The sequence below is a fragment of the Homo sapiens genome, chromosome 11 (genome assembly GCF_000001405.40).
Source record: "Homo sapiens chromosome 11, GRCh38.p14 Primary Assembly".
Lineage (NCBI taxonomy): Eukaryota > Metazoa > Chordata > Mammalia > Primates > Hominidae > Homo > Homo sapiens.
The window spans coordinates 110,012,630-110,035,924 of NC_000011.10; the positions used below are offsets into that span (position 1 = coordinate 110,012,630).

Sequence of the window (23,295 nt, forward strand, 5' to 3'; positions counted from 1 at the left end):
AGGTGGGCTATCACAAGAGATCAACATTTTTAAGTGCTTGGGGAAAATTTGTCAACCCATCTTCCCTCATTGCATGTGAGGCAAAAATATCTTTCAAAGATAAAGGCAAAAAAAAATAACTTACCAAACAAATCTGAAAGAAGTGCCGCCAGTAGACCTGAACTACAAGAAATATTACAGTAAGTACTTTTGACATAAGGAAAATTATACCAGATGAAAATTTGAGTCTACCCAAGGGAATAGAGACTGCTTGAAATGATAAATATGTGGGTACATGTAGAATACATTTTTTCTCAAGTTTAAATTTATATGAAAGATAAATAACCACTTAAAAATAAAATATGGGGTTTATAATATGTTTAGATATAAAATGTAGGCATACAATAGCACAAAGAATACAAGTAGAAAATGAAAATATATTCTTCTCTGATTTTTATACTATATGTGAAGTGACAATATTATATGAAGTTGGACTGTGATAACTTAAAGATGTATATTGTAAATATTAGACTAACCACTAAAAGAAATACATCAGACAAAGTAAACTTCAGAAGAAGGAATATTACATGAGATTAAAAGGAACATTTTATAATGATAAAGAGGTCACTTCATCAGTGAGTCACAATAATCTCGAACATGTATGTATCTAATAACAAAGCTTCAGAACAGATGAAGTTAAAGTCTTCAGACTGTAAAAGAGAAATAAGCTAAGCACAGTGGCTCATGCCTGTAATCCCAGCACTTTGGGAGGCTGAGGCAGGTAGATCAACCGAGGTCAGGAGTCGGAGACCAGCCTGCCAACATGGCGAAACCCTGTCTCTACTAAAAATATAAAAATTAGCTGGACGTGGTGGTGGGTGACTGTAACCTTAGCTACTTGGGAGGCTGAGGCAGGAGGGTTGCTTGAACCTGGGAGGCAGAGGTTGCGGTGAGCCAAAATCACAACATTGCACTCCAGCCTGGGCAACAGGAGCAAAACTCCATCTCAAAAAAATAAATAAATAAAGGAGAAATAGACAAATTCCTAATGTCTAAAGTTAAAAAGATTAACTCTACAAAGTGTTGGTGAGGATGTGAAGCAACTGGAACTATCATACACTGCTAGTAATAATAGAATAAGGTAAAATTACTTCAGAAAACTGACAGTTTCTTAAAAAGTTAGAGGTATGTGTTAGTCTGTTTACATCTCTATTAAACAAAGAAAACCTGAGGCTGGGTAATTTCTAAAGAAAAGAGGTTTATTTGGCTCTGCAGGCTGTACAAGCATGGCACCAGCATCTTCTTCTGGTGAGAGTTTCAGGGAGCTTATAATCATGGCAGAAGGTGAAGGGGAGCCAGTGTGTCACATAGCAAGAGAGGAAGCAAGAGAGAAGGAGTAGGGAAGTAGGTGTCAGGCTCTTTTAAACAACCAGATCTCACATGAACTCAGAGCGATAACTCAATCATTACTTTGAGGATGGCACCAAGATATAAGGAATCCATTCCCATCATCCAAACACATTCCACCAGGCCCCACCTCCAATACTGGGGATCACATTTCAACATGAGATTTGGAAGAGACATACATCCCAACCGTGTTATTCCACCATGGCCCTCAAATCTCACATCCTTCCCACATTGCAAAATACAATTATCCCTTCCCAATAGTCCCCCAATGTCTCAACTCATTCCAATATTAACTCAAAAGTCCAAAGTCTCATTTGATACCCAAGGAAAGTTTCTTCCACCAATGAGCCTGTAATCAAGAACAAGTTCTTTACTTCTAAGATACAATGGTGATACAGGCACTGAATAAACATTTCCATTCCAAAAGGGAGAAATGAGCCAAAACAAAGGGGCAACAGGCCCCACACAAATCCAAAACCCATCAGGATAGACATTAAATCTTAAAGCTCCAAAACAATCTTTGACTACATGTCCTGCATCTTGGCACACTGATGCAAGGAGGGGGCTCCCAAGGCCTTGAGTGGCTCTGCCCTTGCAGCTTTTCCAGGCTGAGTTTGCAAACTGCCAGGGGTCTACTATTCTGGGGTCTTAGAAATTTCTTCTGCTAGATACCCTAGCTCATCAGTCTTAAGTTCTACCTTCCACAAGCCAAAGGACATGGAAACAATGCAGCAAATTCTTTGTTAGGGCATAACAAGAGTGACCTTTACACCAGTTCCCAGTAAATTTCTCATTTCCATCTGAGACTTCATTAGCCCATATTTTTATCAGCATTCAACTCACAATCACTAATTTAACAAGTCTGTAAAAAGTTCCAAACCTTCCCTCAACTTCCTGTATTCATCTGAGCCATCCAAACTCTTCCAACATCTACCCATTACCCAGTTCCAAAGCCACTTCCACATTTTCAAATATCTTTATAGCAACATCTCACTCTCAGTACCAATTTTCTGTGTTAGTCCATTTATGTTGCTATAAAGGTATACTTGAGGCAGGGTAAAGAAAAGAGCTTTATTTGGCTCACAGTTCTGCAAGCTGTACAAGCATGGCACCTGCATCTTCATCTAGTGAGGGCTTCAGGAAGCTTGCAGTCATGGTGGAAGGCAAAGGGGAGCCAGCGTGTCACATGGCAAAAAAGGGAGCAAGAGAGGAGGTGCCAGGCTCTTTTAAACAACCAGATCTCACATGAACTCAGAGTGAGAATTCACTCATTACTGCAAGGACAGCACCAAGCCATTCATGAGGGATCCACCCCCATGACCAAAACAGCCCCCACCAAGCCCCTCGTCCAACATTGGGGATCACATTTTAATATGAGATTTTTGAGGAGACACACATCCGAATCATATCAAGGTACATCTACCATATATTTTCCATTTTTGGTGAGCACATACCTACCACTCCTAGATAACTTCCTGCAGAGAAATGAAAACATATGTGCATACAAAGATTTGTATATAAATGTTTATAGTGGCTTTATCCACAATAGCCAAAATGCCAATGATCCAAGTGTCCATCACCAAGTAAACAGATAAGCAAGTTATGGCATACTCATACAAAAAAATATTGGGCTGCAATAGAAAGATTAATTTCCATAACATTATGCAAAGCAAAATAAGTCATACTAAAAGAAGAGCATATCCTAAATGATCCCATTTATGAGATGTTAGGAGACAATTCTGGCATTTATGCATGTCTTCTGAGTGAGGGGCATTGACAGCTTTGTTCAGCAAGGTTTGCAAAGCTGCTCCATGGCAGGGATCAGATTTGTTTACATTCTAGCATAATAAAGTTAGTCTTCTCTTCTCTTTCCAGAGATATTCCAGGGTTGTAAAGATAACACTCAATCTGAATCAAAGGACAAATTTGTTTCCTGACCAAGATGATCAAGATAATATCTGTCTCCACAGGGGAGGATGGACAGGTTTGCCAGCAGCCCCTGTATAATATTAGGGATCCTAGCCTCAGTGTTCCTATGTGTCATAGATCCACAATGTGTGCAGTATTAACCTGGGCCCACCTCCACATCACCCCATATGTCTTGAGGATCAAAGAGAATCAGTAAGAACACAAAGCTCAAGTTGCCTACTGTGTTGTAATAAACTGTCTAAATCTGTTTGGGATCATGTCTCCTCACTGGCCAAGACTATGGCAGAAGAGCAAGCTGGACTAGTACCAGAAGTAGTCACTGTTGCCTAGGAGCTGCTTGACTGCTTGATATATGAAACTCTAGAGAAAACCAATCTAATCTATAGTGATTCATAGTAGATTGATGGTTGCTTGGGACTAGGTGTGGGGAGGACTCACTGGAAAGGAGCTGAAGGAAATCTTTTTGGGGTGGTGCTACATTTGTCAAGGCTCACCCTACTATACACTTAAAATGTGTGACTTTTATTATATACAGTATACATCAATAATTTTTTTTTTTGAGACAGAGTCTCGCTCTGTCACGCAGGCTGGAGTGCAGTGGCATGATCTCAGCTCATTGCAACCTCCACCTACCAGGTTCAAGCGATTCTTCTGCCTCAGCCTCCCGCGTAGCTGGGACTACAGGCGCATGCCACCATGCCTGGCTAATTTTTTTGCATTTTTAGTAGAGACAGGTTTTCACCATATTGGGCAGGCTGGTCTTGAACTCCTGGCCTCGTGATCTGCCTGCCTTGGCCTCCCAAAGTGCTGGGATTACAGGCATGAGCCACCACGCCAGGCCAATAAAATTTATTTTTAAAATAAATTTTGGTCTCCATCATATGACTAGTATATGTCTGAGACACTGTGTAAATGATAAAAATAATGCACATGTCCAAGGTAATATTCCATTATGAAAAAAGTATTCGACTAAAGTTAATTTGTCGCCTTGGATAAGTGAGGTAACCTTTCTCTATCCAAATTATTTGGAAAGGTGAAGTGAAGGCTACATACTTCTTAAGTTTTGACTGAGTGAAAAAGCTGAGATTTAACATACCCACACTGAGTTCTTTGAAAAGGGTTTCATTTTAAAATTTTTTGACCAGGTGCAGTGGCTCACACTTATAATCCCAGCACTTTGGGAAGCTGAAGGGAGAGGATTGCTTGAGCCCAGGAGTTCAACAGCAGCCTGGGCAACAAAGCGAGACCCCATTTCACACTCACGAAAGAAAACAATTAGACAGGCACTGTGGTGCGTGCCTGTAGTCCCAGCTACTCAGGAGACTGAGGTAGGAGGATCACCAGGAGTCTGAGGCTGCACTGAGCCATGATTGCACCACAGCACTCCAGCCTGGGTGACAGAGCAAGACCCTGTCTCAAAAAAAAACAAAATTTTTTTTTTCTTTTTTTTGAGACAGAGTTTCACTCTTGTTCCCCAGGCTGGAGTGTAATTGCATGATCTCGGCTCACTGCAGCCTCCGCCTCCCAAGTTCAAGTGATTCTCCTGCCTCAGCCTCCCAAATAGCTGGGATTACAGGAGCCTGCCACCACGCCCGGCTTATTTTTTGTATTTTTAATAGAGATGGGGTTTCACCATATTGGTCAGGCTGATCTCCAACTCCTGACCTCAGGTGATCTATCTGCCTCAGCCTCCCAAAATGCTGGGATTACAGGCACGAGCCATTGCACCCGGCTAAAAAACGAAAATTTTATAGTTGCTGTATATGCTTTGAATTATGAGTTTACTTTCAAATAAAGGTGTTTCTGCTAGAACGTATCTGAAAATCCTCACTTTAAAAAGCTGAAAAAAAATTGGGGACAAACAACTCAAAATCTATGCAATGTTCTAATCTAAGCAACAGCAAAACAGTATCAATCCCAACAGAAAACACTACTCCACTAAAAAGACACTATAATCCTAAAAAATAAAGAAATGCTAAAATACATACAAGAATATCCCCAAAAGGTGAAGTTTTGATGATGAAAGGGGTGAAGGATTGAGCATTCTGTTTTATAAAGAGACAAGGTAAATGTTGACAGGTTGGAAAGAACCACACAATAAGTACTTCTAAGATAGAGCATGTGTCTAAACTAGAGAGGAGTATAACAGGATGCATGGACAATCTGTATAGCTCTGGATTCTCCCACAGTTCACTGTATTCAGCTCTATGAGAGTATTTTGCCTTCATTGCAATCTTGGATACAGGTACTATGTTGGGAAAAACCTACATAATCAATCAAACAATGTGACTTCCATTTTATACTGACACTATTCCCCAATTTACCATTTCAGTGTAAGCAAATTTGATTTACAGAAATATGCACATTAGTAGCAGAATAGACTGTCCTTTTCTTTAATATTTGAGATCCAAAGTCAGTTCCTTAAGAAAATCTTCCCTGACCTCTTGCCCAAGACTTGGGCAGGCCCCACCAGGCACACAACCTCATAGCTGTCTGTACTTTTCGTTTATAATATAACACAGTTTATAGTCTTATGAAATTATTTTCATATTGTCTGACTCCTTCACGGACTCTAAGAGGTATTTTCACTCACTACCATATGCCCAAGCACTGGCATAGTGCCTAGGCACATAGTAGGTGCCCAAGAAATACTGATTAACTGGAAGAATTAATTAATTAAATGTTATTATACCATTAAAGTATCCCCTTAATTGCTGTGCTATGGCTTTTATAAAATTAAAATTTATAATAACATTCTTTTTCCTTTTGCTACTGCTTTCTTTATTTTTAAAATAAGTGACAGAAAGGTTGGTTTGGGGACAGATACATCTGTTGGTGATAGGGACAAAGAACAGTAGGATAAAAGAAGACATGGGAAGAAAGATAATAAGCTTGGTGAATTAAAAAAAAAATTCTCACTGTGGCTACCAGATCTCTGTTAGTATAAAAGGTTATTAAGTGAACTGTTTAAATCAATATAATACCCCCCCTTACTTCACCTATCCAACCTATCTCAAAAAATGAATTTAAAATCTCATTGGAAATAACATTACTATAATTATTTGCTTCTATAAAATTCATTCAGTGATTTGACGTCTCCTTTATTTCCCATTGTAAATGGCCCTACAAGGTAATTTGTCTCACATTGATTAGACAATAATACATACACAACTTTACAATGAGTAGGGGGGAATGGAATCAATCATTCTTTATTTTTCCCCTCCAGAATAGTATGCCATCACCCTTTCCCCAAAATTCTACATATTAATGAGATTGAAATTATCATCAAAATTATAAACTAAGGCCCAGAGAAATTAAATGTTTTCTTGCCCGAGGCCATACAACAAATTTATGGAAGAGCTGGGGTTAGAATTCAGATTGTCTCTCAGTTCAGTGATACTGAGTTTTAGGACTCTTTTCTTCTCTTTGTAGGGATTTCTAAATGTCTTCCTGCTTTTTCTTCTTCTTAAACGAAGGCTTTGCTTTCTGAAAATCTACTATAAATCATGACAGCCATGTAATATCATGACAGATATGGAAATAAAATGCTTTGATTTTGCTATATTGCAGTTTGCCAGTGATTCCATCTGTGTATGAAAGGTGAAACACAGAAAACGCACACACAAATGAGCACACCAAAAAATAGGAATTATACCCAGAAAACCAAAAAGATGTTTTGAGCATATAACTTACAGCAACAACAAACCTAGGGCAAAGTGAGGCTTCTAAATCCAAAATTTTCTACCACTATTATCACCTTGTCAACTAGCGATATGGTTTGACTCTGTGTTCCCACCCAAATCTCACCTTGAATTGCAATAATCCCCACATGTCAAGGACGGGACCCAGCAGGAGGTAATTGAATCATGGGGGTGGTTCCCCCATGCTGTTCTCATAATAGTGAGTGAGTTCTCACGAGATCTTGTGGTTTTATAAGGGGCTTTCTTCATTTTGCTCAGCACTTCTCTTTATTGTTGCCATTTGAAGAAGGACATGTTTGCTTCCCCTCCCATCATGATTGTAAGTTTCCTGAGGCCTCCCCAGGCCTCCAGAACTGTGACTCAATTAAACCTCTTTCCTTTATAAATTATCCAGTCATGGGCAGTTCTTTGCAGCAGCATGAGAACAAACTGATACAACTAGTGATCATTTTTATTGCCCTCAGATGTGCTTAAGGTTTGGCAACGTCTGTGTTTTGCCAGGCATTTGACAAATTGGAACCAAGGAACCACTACCAGTTCAGGTGGGCTCCAATGTAAATTTCCAAATTGAAAGTCCCAAAGTAACATAAACTCAGAACCGCAATTTAAGGGCTCCTCTACCAAGCAAGCTAGATGGAACCTTAGACCCCGAGTAAATTATAACCTTCTTTTCAGAGATGTATGCTCCAATGCATCCTGGCAATATAGTGATGAAAAGCAAAGAATGCATTTTAAAGGAGAGAACTTACTTAGGAGGCATGATGTGTGGTGGTGAAGAGCACAAACCTTGGAGACACAAACTCTGTTTGTATTCAAATTCCAACTCTACTTCCCACTGGCTGCTGTCCTTGGGCAGAAGTTATTTAACATCTCTGAGTTTTAATAATGTCCCCTATTCAAGTGGTGGGTGCACTGAAAGCCCACACTTCACCACTATGCAATGTATGCATGTAACACAACGGCACTTATCCCCTAAACCTATAGAACAAACAAACAAACAAAAAACACAGCTATGAGATGAAGGTATTGATAGCACTTACATCAAGTACTTACATCATAGAATAGTTGTAAGGATTAAATTAATTGATATTTATAGAGCACTTAGAGTAAAACCTGGGACCTCTAAGTACTATGCATGTGTTTGCTAATAAAGAAAATGATCTCCCTGGTAGCATTTGGGGACTTCTTTTTTTTTTTTTTTTTTTTTTTTTTGAGATGGAGTTTCGCTCTTGTTGCCCAGGCTGGAGTGAAATGGTGCAATCTTGGCTCACTGCAACCTCTGCCTCCCGGGTTCAAGGGATTCTCCTGCCTCAGCCTCCTAAATAGCTGGAATTACAGGCGCCCACCACCATGTCTGGCTAATTTTTTTTATTTTTTTTTTAATTAGAGACTGGGTTTCACCATGTTGGCCAGGCTGGTCTAAAAACTCCTGACCTCAGGTGATCCACCTGCCTTGGCCTCCCAAAGTGCTGGGATTACATGCGTGAGCCACCTTGCCTAGCCCAGGGGACTTTTTTCAAGGAAGTTCTTTCTCCATAGTTCCTAAAGTACCATACATGAGATTGTTTTCTCCCACTTGTAAGACAGTTTGGAGAAAGTGCTCCTTTGTTCCACTTCAATGTGTAAATAAATGGAAGCCTAACAGTTAAAGCTGAGAGGCTGCCACTTTGCAGTTAGCCCCTGAGGTCAACACTAATCTCTTAAGGAAAAATGAAATAATCAAAGAAAAATACAAACCAGAAATAACAAAGTCTGTATGCAAGACATAACTTGAGACCTTGATCACGGCACTGATACTGATTAGTAATCAGGGCATTTGCTGGTGTCTCTCGTTCTTTCAGACATACTTTCAATAGGCCGAGTGTGGTGGCTCATGCCTGTAATCCCAGCATTTTGGGAGGCTGAGGTGGGCAGATTGTTTGAGGCCAGGAGTTTGAGACCAGCCTGGCCAATATGGCGAAACCCCATCTCTGCTAAAATTATGAAAATTAGCTGGGCCTGGTGGTGCATGCCTGTAATCCTAGCTATGTCAGGAAGCTGAGGCACGAGAACTGCTTGAACCCAGGTGGCAGAAGTTGCAATGAGCCACGATCACGCCACTGCACTCCAACCTGGGCGGGAGAGTAGGACTCTGTCTCAAAAAATAAATAAAAAAGATATACTTTCAATAAAAAGTAGGTTGTTAATTGTTGCTTCACAGATAACTGAGCTAATTCTAAGTGGGCAGTCCAAATGTTCCTACAAGACAGGTCAAGGGGGATTGACACATAGTGAACATTTAATGGATAAATAATAATAGCAAATACATATTTTGCATAAACCTTGTGTCAAGCATTTTTCTAAGTGCTCTACAGTAATTCTATAAGGTTATAACTGATTTTGTCTCCACTTTAAAGAGGAGGAGTATGAAGCACATAGGTTTACTAGATTTTCTAAGGTCACACAGTGAGCAAGTGTTGGAGCTGGGATTCAGACTGGGATTCTGTCTAGCTCCAGAGTCTATGCACTGAGCAATTAGGCCATGAATAAATTTAAGATGCAATTCAGAAGGACAAAGTGGCAGCCAAGAGAGTATGCTGCTTGGGTCTCCATTCAGCTGCAAGGAGTTCAACAGCTTCAGCCTTTATCTGTGCCTTCAGAATCTGCAAATTTTGAACTGAGGCCATGTTCTTCTTGGTCAGTTTCCCACCAATGATTATATGAGGAAGCCTGCTAAAAGCAGGACATCTCTAACAGGAGTCTTCACTCTGGAGCTCCTTGTTGGCTTGGCAGAGACCATCAGAGGGGCACAGCGGCCCCAGGCTCTCCCCACGTGATCCTGCTCCATCTCCCCTTTCCTTCCACAGGAGACAGATCAGCATTGCAGTCTGAAGGCTTCTCCTGTTCAATAATGCTTCCTTGCCATTTTTGCTTTCACAGATGTCACCCCCTCCTCCAAGAAACTTCTTGCACTGCCATCTCTTCTCAGCATCTACTTCTCAGAGGAAGTATCTGGTATTCCCAGTCAAGTATCTGGCTGAGATCTCACCAGTAAGAAAAGAATATGAAACTTCAGTAACAAAAATCTGAGCTGCAGGAGATAAGTCCAGACATGTCAGAGAGAATTGCTTAGTCAAGGGCAAGCAAGACACTAGCTGCCTCACTGTAGCATTAAACCTTTTGTGTCACATTGCTTTGCCACTCTGCTGACGAAGTCTTCATCTTCACTCAGGTACTGATATTAATCTTATGCTAGAATACCTGCTTTCCTTTTGTCATTTTCAACACAGTAAGAGGATGAAATCTGACTTAATTGTATAATACTGACATTTTGGCAGATGCAAATGCTTCCTACTCCCCCAGTTTTACCTGGAAGAGAATATAAAGCCTCATGCCCCATGCGACTCCATGACTGAGCTGACTTCTTCCCATTTAAAAGGCAGACAAAGCCCAGTGTGGTGGCTCACGCCTGTAATTCTAGCACTTTGAGAGGCTGAGGCAGGTGGATCGTTTGAGCTCAGGAGTTCGAGACCAGCCTGGACAACATGGTGAAACCCCATCTCTACTAAAAATACAAACTGAGGTGGGAGGATCACCTGAGCCTGGGGAGGTCAAGGCTGCAGTGAGCTGTGATCGCACCGCTGCACTCCAGCCTGGGGGACAGAGTGACACCCCATCTCAAAACAAGTAAAAAATAAAAGGCAGACAAGTGGGATTTTCACTAATCTTTTATGTTCAGGCAAAACTAGATGCTTTCTTAATTGACTTCCTCAGTAAAAATTATAAAATCATATGGTAGGAAGGAGAGAAAGATGAAAACAAGTCCAGGTTTCTCTACATGGATTTAGCCTCCTAGAAATAAAGACAGATGGCACATTATGGTCAAGTCAAAAGGCAGGAGATTGCTTATAATTTTTTTAACTTGTACGAATAAGTATTGTAGAAGCCATTAGGCAGATATACTGTAGAAGTATTTATACAGTAGATAAGCACACCACTATGTACAATAGTTGCATTAGTTAGGGCTATTTGTTTGTAAGCAATAGATAGCACTCTTTAACTATCTTAAAATAAATGTATCAGAAGGATGTGAGGTTCACAGAGGCAATGAAAGGCTAGAACCAGGAACAACAACAATGGCTTGTAGCAAGAACAGTATGATCAAGGAGCCCTGCTAGGATGGGATGGGAATCCAATTATTGTCAACATCATTGTTCTTCTGCTCAATATTTGAATTCCAAGGAGGGAACAGCAGATTGGCTTAGCTTGTATCATTTCCAACCACTGGGGAGGAGTAAACAGGACCCCTGATTATAGTCCCAACTGATGATACCCAGTGGGAAAGAGAAAATTCCTTAAAAGGAAGTCAGATAAGAAGGAAGGAAGGAAGGAAGGAAGGAAGGAAGGAAGGAAGGAAGGAAGGAAGGAAGGAAGGGAGGGAAGTGGGGAGGGAAGTGGGGAGGGAAGTGGGGAGGGAGGGAAGGAGATGGGGAGGGAGGGAGAGAGGGAGGAAGGGAGGAGGGAGGAAAAATGACTGTTGGACAGCCAAATAACTTCAGCTATTTAATAGTTTAGGTTACATTTCCCAATTTTTTTTTTTTTTTTTGAGATGGAGTCTTGCTCTGTCACCCAGGCTGGAGTGCAGTGTCGTAATCTCAGCTCATTGCAACCTCCACCTCCTGGGTTCAAGCGATTCTTCTGCCTTAGCCTTCCACGTAGCTGGGACTACAGGCGTGTGCCACCACATCTGGCTAATTTTTGTATTTTTAGTAGAGACTGGGTTTCACAATGTTGGCCAGGCTGGTCTTGAACTCCTGACCTCAGGTGATCTGCCCACCTCAGCCTCCCAAAGTGCTGGGATTACAGGGGTGAGCCACCATGCCTGGCCTCCCAATTATTACTAGTAAGCAAATTCAGTAAGATGCATATGATTTCTCCATGTGCCTCTCTCTATCTGCCCCTCTCAAGGCTAATCAGCCTTTGACAGAAGGCATACAACTGGAATAAAAACTTTCTTAGTACTATTGAATCAGTTCTTTGAAAGAGATATAGATAAACCAGAGTAACTTTTGAAGACGGGACCAGTACGGTGAGAGAATCTAAACATCATAATATCTAAAGAAGAGCTTAAGAAACTAAGAATATGTAATCAGAAGGAAAAAGTCTCAGAAGGCATAGAAAGTACAGATTAGCTGCTGTCACATGTTTGTCGTGTTTTGATGACCTTAGAGTTACCATCTTCCCAAATTGTTGATTTGGAACCTATGGGATTCAGAACCAATGGACAGATTCAGAAAAAAAATGAGAGAGGGTTGGCTCTGTCTTCACTGGGTATCAAATGCTGAATTGATTCCTGTTGGAAAGAAATAAAACAATATGGGAAAACTAAGAGGCAGTGTTAGCAAATTGTATCAAAAGAGAATTGAGCTAGATATGACAATGGCAACAATAATGGCTTTATTTTGAACACATAATACTAGGCACTATGTCATACTTTTAAAATATCACTGCCTCTCAAACCTTCTCACTCTAGGATCCTTAATGACAGAAGAAAAAGAATTATTACTTCCAGATCCCTGGAGACAAAAGAATTCATGGCAACAGTAAGATTGTTGGGAGTTCTTAGATTTTACATTAAAAAATCATGACACTTTTAAATTCTGCTTCATAAGACAGTAGTGTTTATTTTAGTTTTTATATTTATCTGCCTTTTGAGATAGACAGATATAGATAGGATATAGATATAGATTCTTAAAAAATATAGATAGGGTCTCGCTCTGTTGCCCAGGCTTGAGTGCAGTGGCACAATCATGATTTGCTGAAGCCTCAAACTTCTGGCCTCAAGCAATTTTCCCACCTCAGCTTCCTGAGTAGCTGGGAGGGCGGGTGGCGCATACCACCACACCTGGCTAATTTTTTAATTTTTTTGTGTTTTGAGACAGTTTCTTGCTTTGTTCCCCAAGCTGGTCTCAAACTCCTGGCTTTAAGCAATCCTCCGGCCTCAGCCTCTCAAAGTTCTGGGATTACAGGCATTGAGTATCATTTCCGACCCTTGAGGAGGTGTAAACATGACCCCTGATTATAGTCAGGGGTGGTGGCATGCACCTGTAGTCCCAGCTACTAAGGAAGCTGAGGTGGGAGGATCACTTGAGCCCAGGAGTTTGAGGCTTCAGTGAACCATGATTGTGCCATGGCATTCCATAAATAAATACAAATATATATGTATATATATTTTTTATTATATATCATATTTTGTAATATATAAATATACATTTATATTTACATAAAATTTTTTGAAACTCTGGGACCTGCCCTTCAAGAGCTGTATTTATCATATAACTTGTTTGAGGGGGCCTCTTGAAGCACCATTGCATAACTCTGTGGGTATACATACTCCAGTTCCTGAATGACAGCCAAATATTTAGGAAGAGGGTGTTTTTAATATAGTACTCTTCGAATAATATAGAACTCTTTGAAGATAGAAACTTGTACACAGAGTGACTACTAGGTTCCCAAGGATGATTTCAAACCAAGGATGATTTCAAAATCAATTGGATTTAAGTCTACTCCTTCAATTTCCCCAGCAGAGGCACCTCTATCCCTCAGAATTATCCCAACTCCTAGGATGTGAGGAGTGAACACTCAACTGCTATAGGGTAGGGCAAAAGGTAGCAAAAGGTCAAGGACAGGTAGATGCTTTAAATAGACAACCATTTAAATGTCTATCCAAATGGACAACCCAACAGATAGAAGAAATTAACTAGTTCGCTGCTGAATTAAATAAGCTCTAAGTCCTAAGCTCTATGTCTCCTATTCCTACAGTAGACACTAATATATTCAATGTACTTTTGTCAGTGAGCCTGGCAAAAATATGGCACTTATTAAATTATTCAGTTTTGAGCTGGAAGAAATCTTAAGGCTAATTTAGTGCAGCCTCCCTCATTCTACAGTTGAAAGAACTGAATCTCTATAAACGTAAGTTGCTTGCTGAAGATAACATGGATTTAGAACTGGGCTGGACCCTTTTATTCCCAATTGAATGTTCTTTTTACAGTGACAAGGCAAGCTGTCATGGAAAGAGAAGCTTTAAAATGGTACACACAAGTGCATCACTTTTCTGGCCTTGTGACCTTGGGCAAGTTTCTAATCCCTTTGAGCACCAGTTGTCTCATCTGTAGAGTGCGAATGATCATAATCTTCAATGGATTCTTCCAGGGACTTAAAGAAGTAATGCTTGCAAAGGAACTAGCACAATGCCCAGCATATGGAATTTGCCTATGAAAATACTTTTGTTCTCCAATTTCCAGCCCTTCTTGTTGGGTTGTTTGCCAAGTCCTCCTGCTGATACTGCACCCATGGTATTAGGAACAAGAGTGGACTTTCCCCTCCTCTTTATAAATTATACAACAGAGAAAGGGGGAGGGGAATGCAGTGAAATATTAACAGTTGAGGAACTGGATGAGAGGAGCCTGGGAGATCTTTGTACTTGCAAATGTTCTGTTTAAGCTTGAAACCATTTCAAAATGAATTATTTTTCCATGGAAAAATAAAATGGACACCTCCACATGTTGCTTTCTTCCATTCCAAAGCCCAATTGCATAGCAACTGGACTGAGGTTTTCAACCCCAACGTGTAATGTAAACTACATATTAGTAAGCTCACCCTTCCAATCCTCTGTTCTAGAGGAAGTAGGGCTTGTGATTCCCCTTTCATTTGTTGAACACATAACACAAAGAGGAACTGTTCTCAGGCTCAAGTCACGGGCTGGAACTCAGAAGTGCTTTGGTTTAAATGATGAATGCATGGTCACCCATGTTTAACCACCAATTGAGAGGAGGTCACATGCTAAATCAGAAAAGTCCCAATGAAGGGGAAAGTAATTGAGAGTCTTTTGTACCCAAAATAGTACAAATAGGTTCCAGCTGAGAAGGAACTCAAATTAGTTTTCCTTTCACAGAGCTTTAATGCTGTATTTTTCAACATGATTTGGAAGACACCTATACCAACAAGTGTTATCATATACACATTCTTCTTTATCTGATAAAGCACCAAGATCCTGGTCAAACCATAAGTTTGGTAAGCAGAAATGGCCCCTACCTACATTGTCTTTAACTACACGGAAAGCCCTTCATGTTTTGAGGTGTAAATAATCTGTAGACAGTTTCTACAAGGAAAAGAGGAATAATAATAATATTGTCTTAACAAGGATCTTTTCAGATCAGAGTAGAAATGCTAGCATAAATCCAAAGCAACTTACCCTCACCTAAATCTCAGCATAAAACTCATTCATTCACTCGCTTATTTAGTATTTCTTGAATTCCTCTTCATTGCCATTTACGCTAGATGGTGATTAGGGGATATTATGGAGAGTAAACCAGATGTGGTCTCTGCTTTCACTGACCACAACCTAGTGGGGAAGACAGGCATGAACAAGAAATCATAATGAGTGGTATGAGTTCTCAGGCAGATGATGTGGGGAAACACACAGGAGGGGCACTCAGCTCAGTCTAGTGGGGCAGGGGGGCTTCCCAGAGGTAGTTACATCAAAGCTGAGATCCAACGTTCAAGTTAGAAGTAATCAGCCAAGAATGTTTCCCAAGCAGAAGAATGACATGTGTCATTATCTGAAGATTAGAAATCCCAAAAGGCTGAAGTGTGGAGTGCAGGAAGGTTGAGGTAAGGAGGAAAAATGAGACCAGGAGGAGGTTTCACATGGCACATGTTGAATGTTAAACAGCACATACTCCCTCCGAGGGAAGACCTTTACCATGGAGTTTGCAGGGCTGTTTCCCTGGCCTTCTTTCTGAGACCCAATTTTCCCTTGGGAGATAAGATGACCTGGGTAAAGTGGACTTTGGACAAATGTGTTCTGTAGGCATGTTTTCTTTTGTGTCTTCTCTCTCCCTTATTCCAGTCCCTTTCTTCAATTCTGGTGTTATAGCAGAAATAATTAACATTTATGGTATGTGCCTGGTACCACCAACTCTCAAAATAACCCTAAGGGATATTATTATTATTCCTATTTTACGATAAGCAAACTTGGGCTCATGTACTAACTTTCCCAAGGTCATAGTACTAATAAATGGCAGCACTGATATGAGAACCCAGTGTTACCTGAATTCAAAGCTCATCCTCCTAATTATCCTGGTACCCAACCTCAAGTCATGTAGTTGGCATCCCATTCCCTGCAAAGCCTTTCTCTCAGTTATCTATCAGCTAGTTAATTAAATGAAGTCATTATGGGCTGGGCACACAAAAGATATTCAAAGTGCTGATGACTGCAGTATCAACTGATAGAGTTAGCTACATTAACCATGGTGTTTAAATAGGGACTTCTCTAAGACTAAAAATACCTTTAGGGCTGAAAGCCATGAAACTCTTCCTATGAGAAGATGAGTGGCGTTGATAGATGGAGTTGTAACCATGGCAGCCCCTTAAGTCATACCATGGAAACAACTGAGTGCTTTCCTGCTTGTTGCTATACTACTTGCTCTTAGGTGATGCATCTGAGGTCTTAACAGAAACCCATCCCACACCACCCCTTTCTTCCCCTGTCACATGAATCAGAGTGTTACACAGAGGAGAAAAATTAGGCCCTTTCCTAAACTGCACCTATAATAGCAACTACAGAAGTAGGAATTTCCACCACGGTCAAAAGGGAAATTTAGAACACTCTCATGCCAAAAATGTTCTTCCTACTCTGCAATCCATGGAACGTATATATTTTTTAAACCAACAATATGACTAGCTGTGTGTTCTTGGAAAAAAAAAAATTCACCTTTTGGAACCTATTTTCTTTTTTCTATTTTTTTAAAGCTTCAGAAAAATTATCTCTAAAGATCACTCCAGGTAAACAACTCTAAGAAACAAGCTGCATCGAAGAATTTTCTCAGGTGGTATCTTAATGCATCTAGATACAGCGTGAAGTTGAAAGGGACTTGAGGGACCTTCTAAGCTAACCCTGCTAGACTGCTTCACTAATCTTTGCTTTCCTTATCTCTAGCATAAAAAAATACTCAAATGTTTGCTATTGTTGAGCGACCCCCTAATCTGATGTGAGAACCCCATATGATATCATCTCTCACACATGGCCACTGTCCATTGCGTGTTCATTATACACCTCGAAGGCTGAGAAGCTCACTAATTCTGGAGACAACTCATTTATTTTTCGGGCATCTATAACTGCTATTGACTTGTCTTTAGAGTGAGCCAAAATCCACTTCCTGTCATTGTACTCTTCAGAGAAAAACACTCTGGACCACATGAGAGGTGGCCCAGACAAAGGACAAAGCTGCATGGGCTTTAATAAGCCATAAAGTTATGAGGGCCCTTAAAGGTCATCTTTGAGCTTCCTTTCCACTGGATGTGTAAAAAATAATCTATGCGAGGAGAAAAGACAAAAATACTGACCTTGTGAACAAAAGGAAATGGGGTGAAAGCGAACCAGGCCTCCCTGTGAACAGGGAGCGTGTTCATGCTTTTTTATAAATAAAGGATGAGAGGGGCCCAATCCAAACTATAAATGACCCACAGGTTCTTCTAGTCATGAAAGAGAGAATGTGAGAAACTCAAATGAATCACTTTCTTAATTCAGGCTACTAGGCAGACATGACAGTGAAAAATGTGTCCCAGGAGAAAGGGTCGTGCCTATTAAGACAAGTGTAGTGTCGTTTCAAACACAACTTCCCTGCACTCTGATAAAAAGCCTTGCTGGGCTGCTCAGTCTCTAGAGAAAGCGCCCCATTCACTGCCTCACACCCTGGGAGAAGGAGTAGAGGCCACTTCTGAAAAGACAAGTTGTTAAGTAAAGTGCAATAGAGACGGGCCACCTGCCAAGGGTCAAGGGTGGGATTTAGGGGCATTCTCTTGTGGATCCCTTTTTGTCCTGTGAGGGCATAAAATAGTTTGGGTTGTACAGAAGGAATGAAGTTTCATGGAGAGAAGAGAGTAAGGCTTCCCCTCTGATTAGCTGCAAACTTGAGCAAGATCCTTAACCTCTCTGTAGTTTAGTGCGCCAGTCTCTGACCAAAAGGTGGAAGCGTGCCACACAGGCCTTCTGTTGGGGTCTCGCATTTACTTATATTATTTCCTCTGTTATGGGTGCTCTGATTCCCAAATTCTAAGAAGGAAATATGTAAACTTCCCTACCCCAATCATCTCCCCTAGCAAATGGCCATGGGAATGGTCAACACTGCTGAGGAGCTGCTGGGAACCCCACATTTGTTGAAGTCCCGTTCTAGGTTCTTTCATTGTTCTGAGCCAAAACCTGATCCAGAGCTACCAAGGAGTGACTTTTTTTCCAGGATTATGAGTCACTCACAAAGTACCAACTCCCCCCTCCCCAGGACCCTTGGAGCTTCCTAAAAAAGCCCAAAGCCATGGCTCATGTTCTCCATATTTTAGGGTAACCTTACCCAGAGTCTACACTGAACCTGATATGAAAACCTAATAAGAGTTCCCAGGAGCCTTAGAGGCAGACTGTAGATCAGTGTACTATGGGGTCTAAACTTGGCCACTGAACAAGCACACTTAGCTTATTAGAGTGAGAGGGTGGGCAGACACTGCTGCTAACTATCCTAAATCTCAAATCAAAGATTTTTCATGATACCTTTCTTAATTTCAGTCATGCCAACAGGGACCAAAAGTAATATTTGGGTGAAACAAGACAACCGTTTAGTTTGTGGCCAATGATCCCATCTTTTCCCCACCCTCCTTCAGGTGATTCACCAGGAAAACATCAAAAGGACTTCCCCTCTCACCCACAGCAACCTAAAGGGTCTATGAGTGGGACTTACAAGGACCTTGCTGCTGTCTGGATTGATGACACTAGGCAGACTGGATACATGGGTGTTCATCTGTCACTCAAAATTGGCTGGACTCTCAGCGATAGTAGCAAGGTATTTTAGCTTTTATAAACCTGTTTTGATCATTGTCAAATCTTCCAACTATGTTAGATCTTAGGATTTGCTTTTAGAGCCAGAGAATGAACAAACAATGTTCATAAGAGACTTTCCAACTTTAAATGCTACAATGTTGTGAATGTGACTATGATAAATTTTTTAAAAATTCTTCCTGTAATACAGGCCTCAGAAAGAAACTACTTCTTTCCTTCCTGAATGTTGGTATTCACATTAGTTTTTGTACACCACATGGTCTATAGCTCTGTCTCATTGCTAGTAGAACTATCAATGACAACTCACTTGCCCTAAGCACCTACACGTTGTTAAGAATGTATTAATTACAGTAACAGAAAACAACTCCTTCCTTGTGGCTTTCATGAATTACACAAACTGTGTTTTAATTTTTCTGATTTTTCAAATAAGTTCAACCATGTGCTACACCACTAAAGTTACTTAATAATGTTTTAAGTCTAATTCTGTAAAGACATTATTATTCAACATTCTTGGTCAAGTATTCCAAAGGCCCTGATGTATTGCAAAGTATACCCTTAAAAGAGTTATTATTTTTTCCACTTTTGTGTATAATTTTCCCACTAACCTGCACTTCACCTGTTTTTTTCTTACTTTTCCATTCATTCTCTCGTCTTTGATTCGTGCTCTATTTTGTGCCTTTCTGTTCCTTTTACAATATTCTTATCTTTTCTTTGTTTCTGATAGTTTCAGCTCCATTCCATTCATCAGCATTTTCGTATTCTTCTTCACTGACATCTGCTGCTATGGGTTTCTGTTTTTGTTCTCTGGATTCAATGCACGGCTTCCCTTCCATTTTCCTCCCTCTCTGTCCTCCATGCCTGAGAGCTTCTTTGTCTTTTTGTGCTGCTGATCGGACTCTGGACAGCCTTTGAGAAGGCTGTAAGGAGTTGGCATTCTGGCCACAGCTAATGACGATCCAACAGCTATTTAAGCAGCAGGCAACTTACAATATTCAAGCAAGAAAGAAAAGCACAGACAGCACACTCAGCCACATACTTTTCAGAAATATCAGTGTTCTACAAACGCAGTGGAGGCTGGCTCTATTTAGTGTTCAAATTGGCTTGCCTCATTCAACAAATAGATCTTATGCTCAGCCTCTGGGAGTGAGTGCTGAAGACCTTTTCCCTTCTAATGGAGATTGGATTTTGTTTGTGCTGTGGTGTTTTGTTCCTGTTTCCTTGTATGCATCTATTTACCAAGGAAGTAATTTCACTTCTTTGTGCTTTGCTTTGCCCACCTGACTTGCTGGGAGGTTTTCTGGTGCTTATTTCATCTCCCATAGTGGAGACAATGCTTTATGCCTGCCTAGGTGGCACCACCATGAAAGGGGGCATGCCAGATATGGGGGTCACAAACACAGTTTGGCAACATGGTCTCATGGGGCATTTCCCAAACTGCATTACCCTATCAATCAGCATGTGTTTCTGAGCACTTTATAGTTCTCTGTTAGATTTTGAAGGTGGTACAGAGATTTATTAAGCATGTTCACTGCCCTCCTGAAGGCAGCAAGCTAGCTGTGGAGACAAGACTAATGCACACCAAAGAGATAAAGTCCCCAAGCAAAGCTCCATGTGTGATTAAATGCCACAGTGAGGGAGACAGATTGGAAGAGCAGCTGGAATTGAGATAAAGACAAAATCAGTGTTGACTGGGACAAATAGAGAGAGCCCCTGCTTTGATGTGGGCCAAGAATGTGGGTAGCATTAGAGAGCAAGCCCAGGAGGTGCAGAGGGTTCCAGGCCACGATTGTGACACATGTCACTCTACCTGTTGGGCTGCCCCAGGTCTCTTCCCCATCCAAATTCTTTCCCATGGCTTTAATACTGTCTAATAGGCCAATGATTCTTAAATGTATGACTCAAGCCAGGATCTCTCTGAGTTCCAGACTTGCACACCTATTGTTTACTTGATCTTTCCAATTGGTCATGACATAAGCATTTTCAACTTAACATGACCAAATCAAAATTATTTTTTTCTTCTCCAAAACCCACTCCTCTTAAAGTCTTTCTCATATAATTAAATGACACCGCAAGTTACCAGTTGCTTAGCCTGAGAATCTAGGAGTCATTCTTAATTCCATTTTTTTTTTTTTTTTTTTTCGAGACAGAGTCTCTGTCACCCAGGCTGGAGTGCAGCGGCGCCATCTGAGCTCACTGCAACTTCCACCTCCCGTGTTCAAGTGATTCTCCTGCCTCAGCCTCCCAAGTAGCTGAGATTACAGGCATGTTACAGGCACCACACCTGGCTAATTTTTGTATTTTTAATAGAGACAAGTTTTCGCCATATTGGCCAGCCTGCTCTCAAAGTCCTGACCCCAAGTGGTCCACCCACCTTGGCCCCCCAAAGTGCTGGGATTACAGGCCTGAGCCACTGTGCCCAGCCCATTCTTGATTCTTCTTGTTCCCTTACATCCACATTTAGTTAGGAAGTTCTGCTGTTCAACTCTAACATATTGCACACATCCTGCCAGTCCCTACTATCTCCATTGCTATAACTCTAACCCAAATGACCATTATCTCTCGTAAACTACTATGATGACCTCCCACTAGTAGGCCCAACTCCACTGTTGTCCCTCTATGTGCCGTTACCCACACAGTAGTCAGAACCATCTTTCTAAAGTGAAAATCAGGGCATTTGCTCTCTGGGTGAAAGTTCTTCAGTGGCTTTTCATTCCAGTAGAATAAAATCCAACTCCTTACCATGGCCCTGCATGATCTAACTCCTGCTTCCTTCTCTGACCTCATCTCTCCCCACACAGCTCCAGTCACACAGGCCTTCTTTCACTCCTTCAAACATCCCAAGTTCACTCTAGCCCTGGCCTCTGCACCAGCTGTTGCCTCCGCCTGAAAAGTGTGTGACTCCCATTTCTTTATTCTCTTCAGCTGGAATATCTCCTCTACAAAAATAAAAAGATCACTCTCTATCCAATGGCTGTGTTTTATTTTCCTCCCAAGATTTATCTAAAATTGGCCAGCATGGTGGCTTATGCATGTAATCCCAGCACTTTGGGAGGCCGAGGCGGGTGGATCACCTGAGGTCAGGAGTTCAAGACCAGCCTGGCCAACATGGTGAAATACAAAAATTAGCCAGGTGTGGTGGTGTGCACCTGTAATCCCAGCTACTTAGGAGGCTGAGCCAGGAGAATCGCTTGAACCCGGGAGGCGGAGGTTGCAGTGAGCCGGGATCGCACCACTGCACTCCACCCTGGGTGACAGAGCAAGACTCTATCTCCAAAAAAAAAAAAGACTTATCTAAAATTACTCTAGATATTTATTTGTTTTTGAGTTTGCTCTCTGTCACTTCCCTGAGGATAAAATCCATGAGTACAAGTATTGTGTTCATTGCACTGTTTCTCCAGTGTGTAGAATAATGCTAATGAGTGCTCAATAAATGATTGTTTAATGAAACAAGCTGACGTGGAACGAGTCCCTATAGGGATGGGAGGAAAATACAGTCTGAATGGGAGCGTGCAAACTTGGCAGGAGGACAGAACTCAGGGATGAGGTGGAGATCACAGGATACATCTCATGCATAGACACTGCTCTCATCTCATCTAGGCAATTTGGGTTTTAGACTTTGGAGAAGCCCTCAGAGAGAAGAAATCAAATAACAACGTATATGCCAGTATTTCTGTGTACATACTGAGGGCACGAGGCAGACTATCCCATTGGCAGGAGAAGGTTACTGTTAACAGCAGTTTGACAGGAAGATGGTTGGAGCCTAAAGCAGAAGTGCCTCCTGTGTGCCAGATCTTTTCCCTAAGCACTTTGCATTCATTAGCTTATTTCATCCTTACAACAATTTCACTCTAAAATAGGTATTATTATTATCATTTTATAGATTAGAAAAATCAAGGCTCAGAAAGGAGGTTATGGAGTGATATTTTGGCAGCATGTAAATAACCAATTCCTTTCGCCTCATGCAATGGTTTGTAACCTGGCGCTCATTAGAAATCACTGGGAGCTCCTGAATATCTTGATGCCCAGAAACCATTTCAGACCAATTTCATCAGACTCTCTGGTGGTAGGATATAGGTGTCAATAGTTTGCAAAGCTTCTCAGTAATTGCAGTGAGCAGCCAACCTTCACAACCACTGATCTAATGGGTTTTGTGACCACTGATGATTCTGCTTGATCCATGCCTCCATTTTTTAAATTAGGGGTTGAAAATTAGTGATATGCTAACCCTGTAATTATTTCTGCCTGTATTAAAAAAAAAAAAAAGAGCTTTCCCTCATCAGTTGGGTTACCTGACTGTTCTGAAATACAATTCTACTGAAAAGGCAGGACAAATTCTTAATTCTTTTCTCATATTTTTTTTTTTTTTGAGATGGAGTTTTCATCTTGTTGCCCAAGCTGGAGTAAAAT

General features: G+C 41.0%; 4 annotated features.

Annotated features, from left to right (window-relative positions):
* Positions 9,430-10,629: an enhancer, noted in NCBI's record as "P300/CBP strongly-dependent group 1 enhancer chr11:109892785-109893984 (GRCh37/hg19 assembly coordinates)". NCBI's record gives its function as "activates an origin of replication core promoter dependent on BRD2, BRD4, P300/CBP, MED14 and CDK7 cofactors, with strong dependence on P300/CBP, by STARR-seq in HCT116 cells {active_cell/tissue: HCT116}" and the evidence as "EXISTENCE:reporter gene assay evidence [ECO:0000049][PMID:35650434]".
* Positions 10,039-10,098: an enhancer, noted in NCBI's record as "active region_5496". NCBI's record gives its function as "activates an Ori minimal core promoter by ATAC-STARR-seq in GM12878 lymphoblastoid cells {active_cell/tissue: GM12878}" and the evidence as "EXISTENCE:reporter gene assay evidence [ECO:0000049][PMID:35858748]".
* Positions 14,900-15,059: an enhancer, noted in NCBI's record as "active region_5497". NCBI's record gives its function as "activates an Ori minimal core promoter by ATAC-STARR-seq in GM12878 lymphoblastoid cells {active_cell/tissue: GM12878}" and the evidence as "EXISTENCE:reporter gene assay evidence [ECO:0000049][PMID:35858748]".
* Positions 15,370-15,449: a silencer, noted in NCBI's record as "silent region_3882". NCBI's record gives its function as "represses an Ori minimal core promoter by ATAC-STARR-seq in GM12878 lymphoblastoid cells {active_cell/tissue: GM12878}" and the evidence as "EXISTENCE:reporter gene assay evidence [ECO:0000049][PMID:35858748]".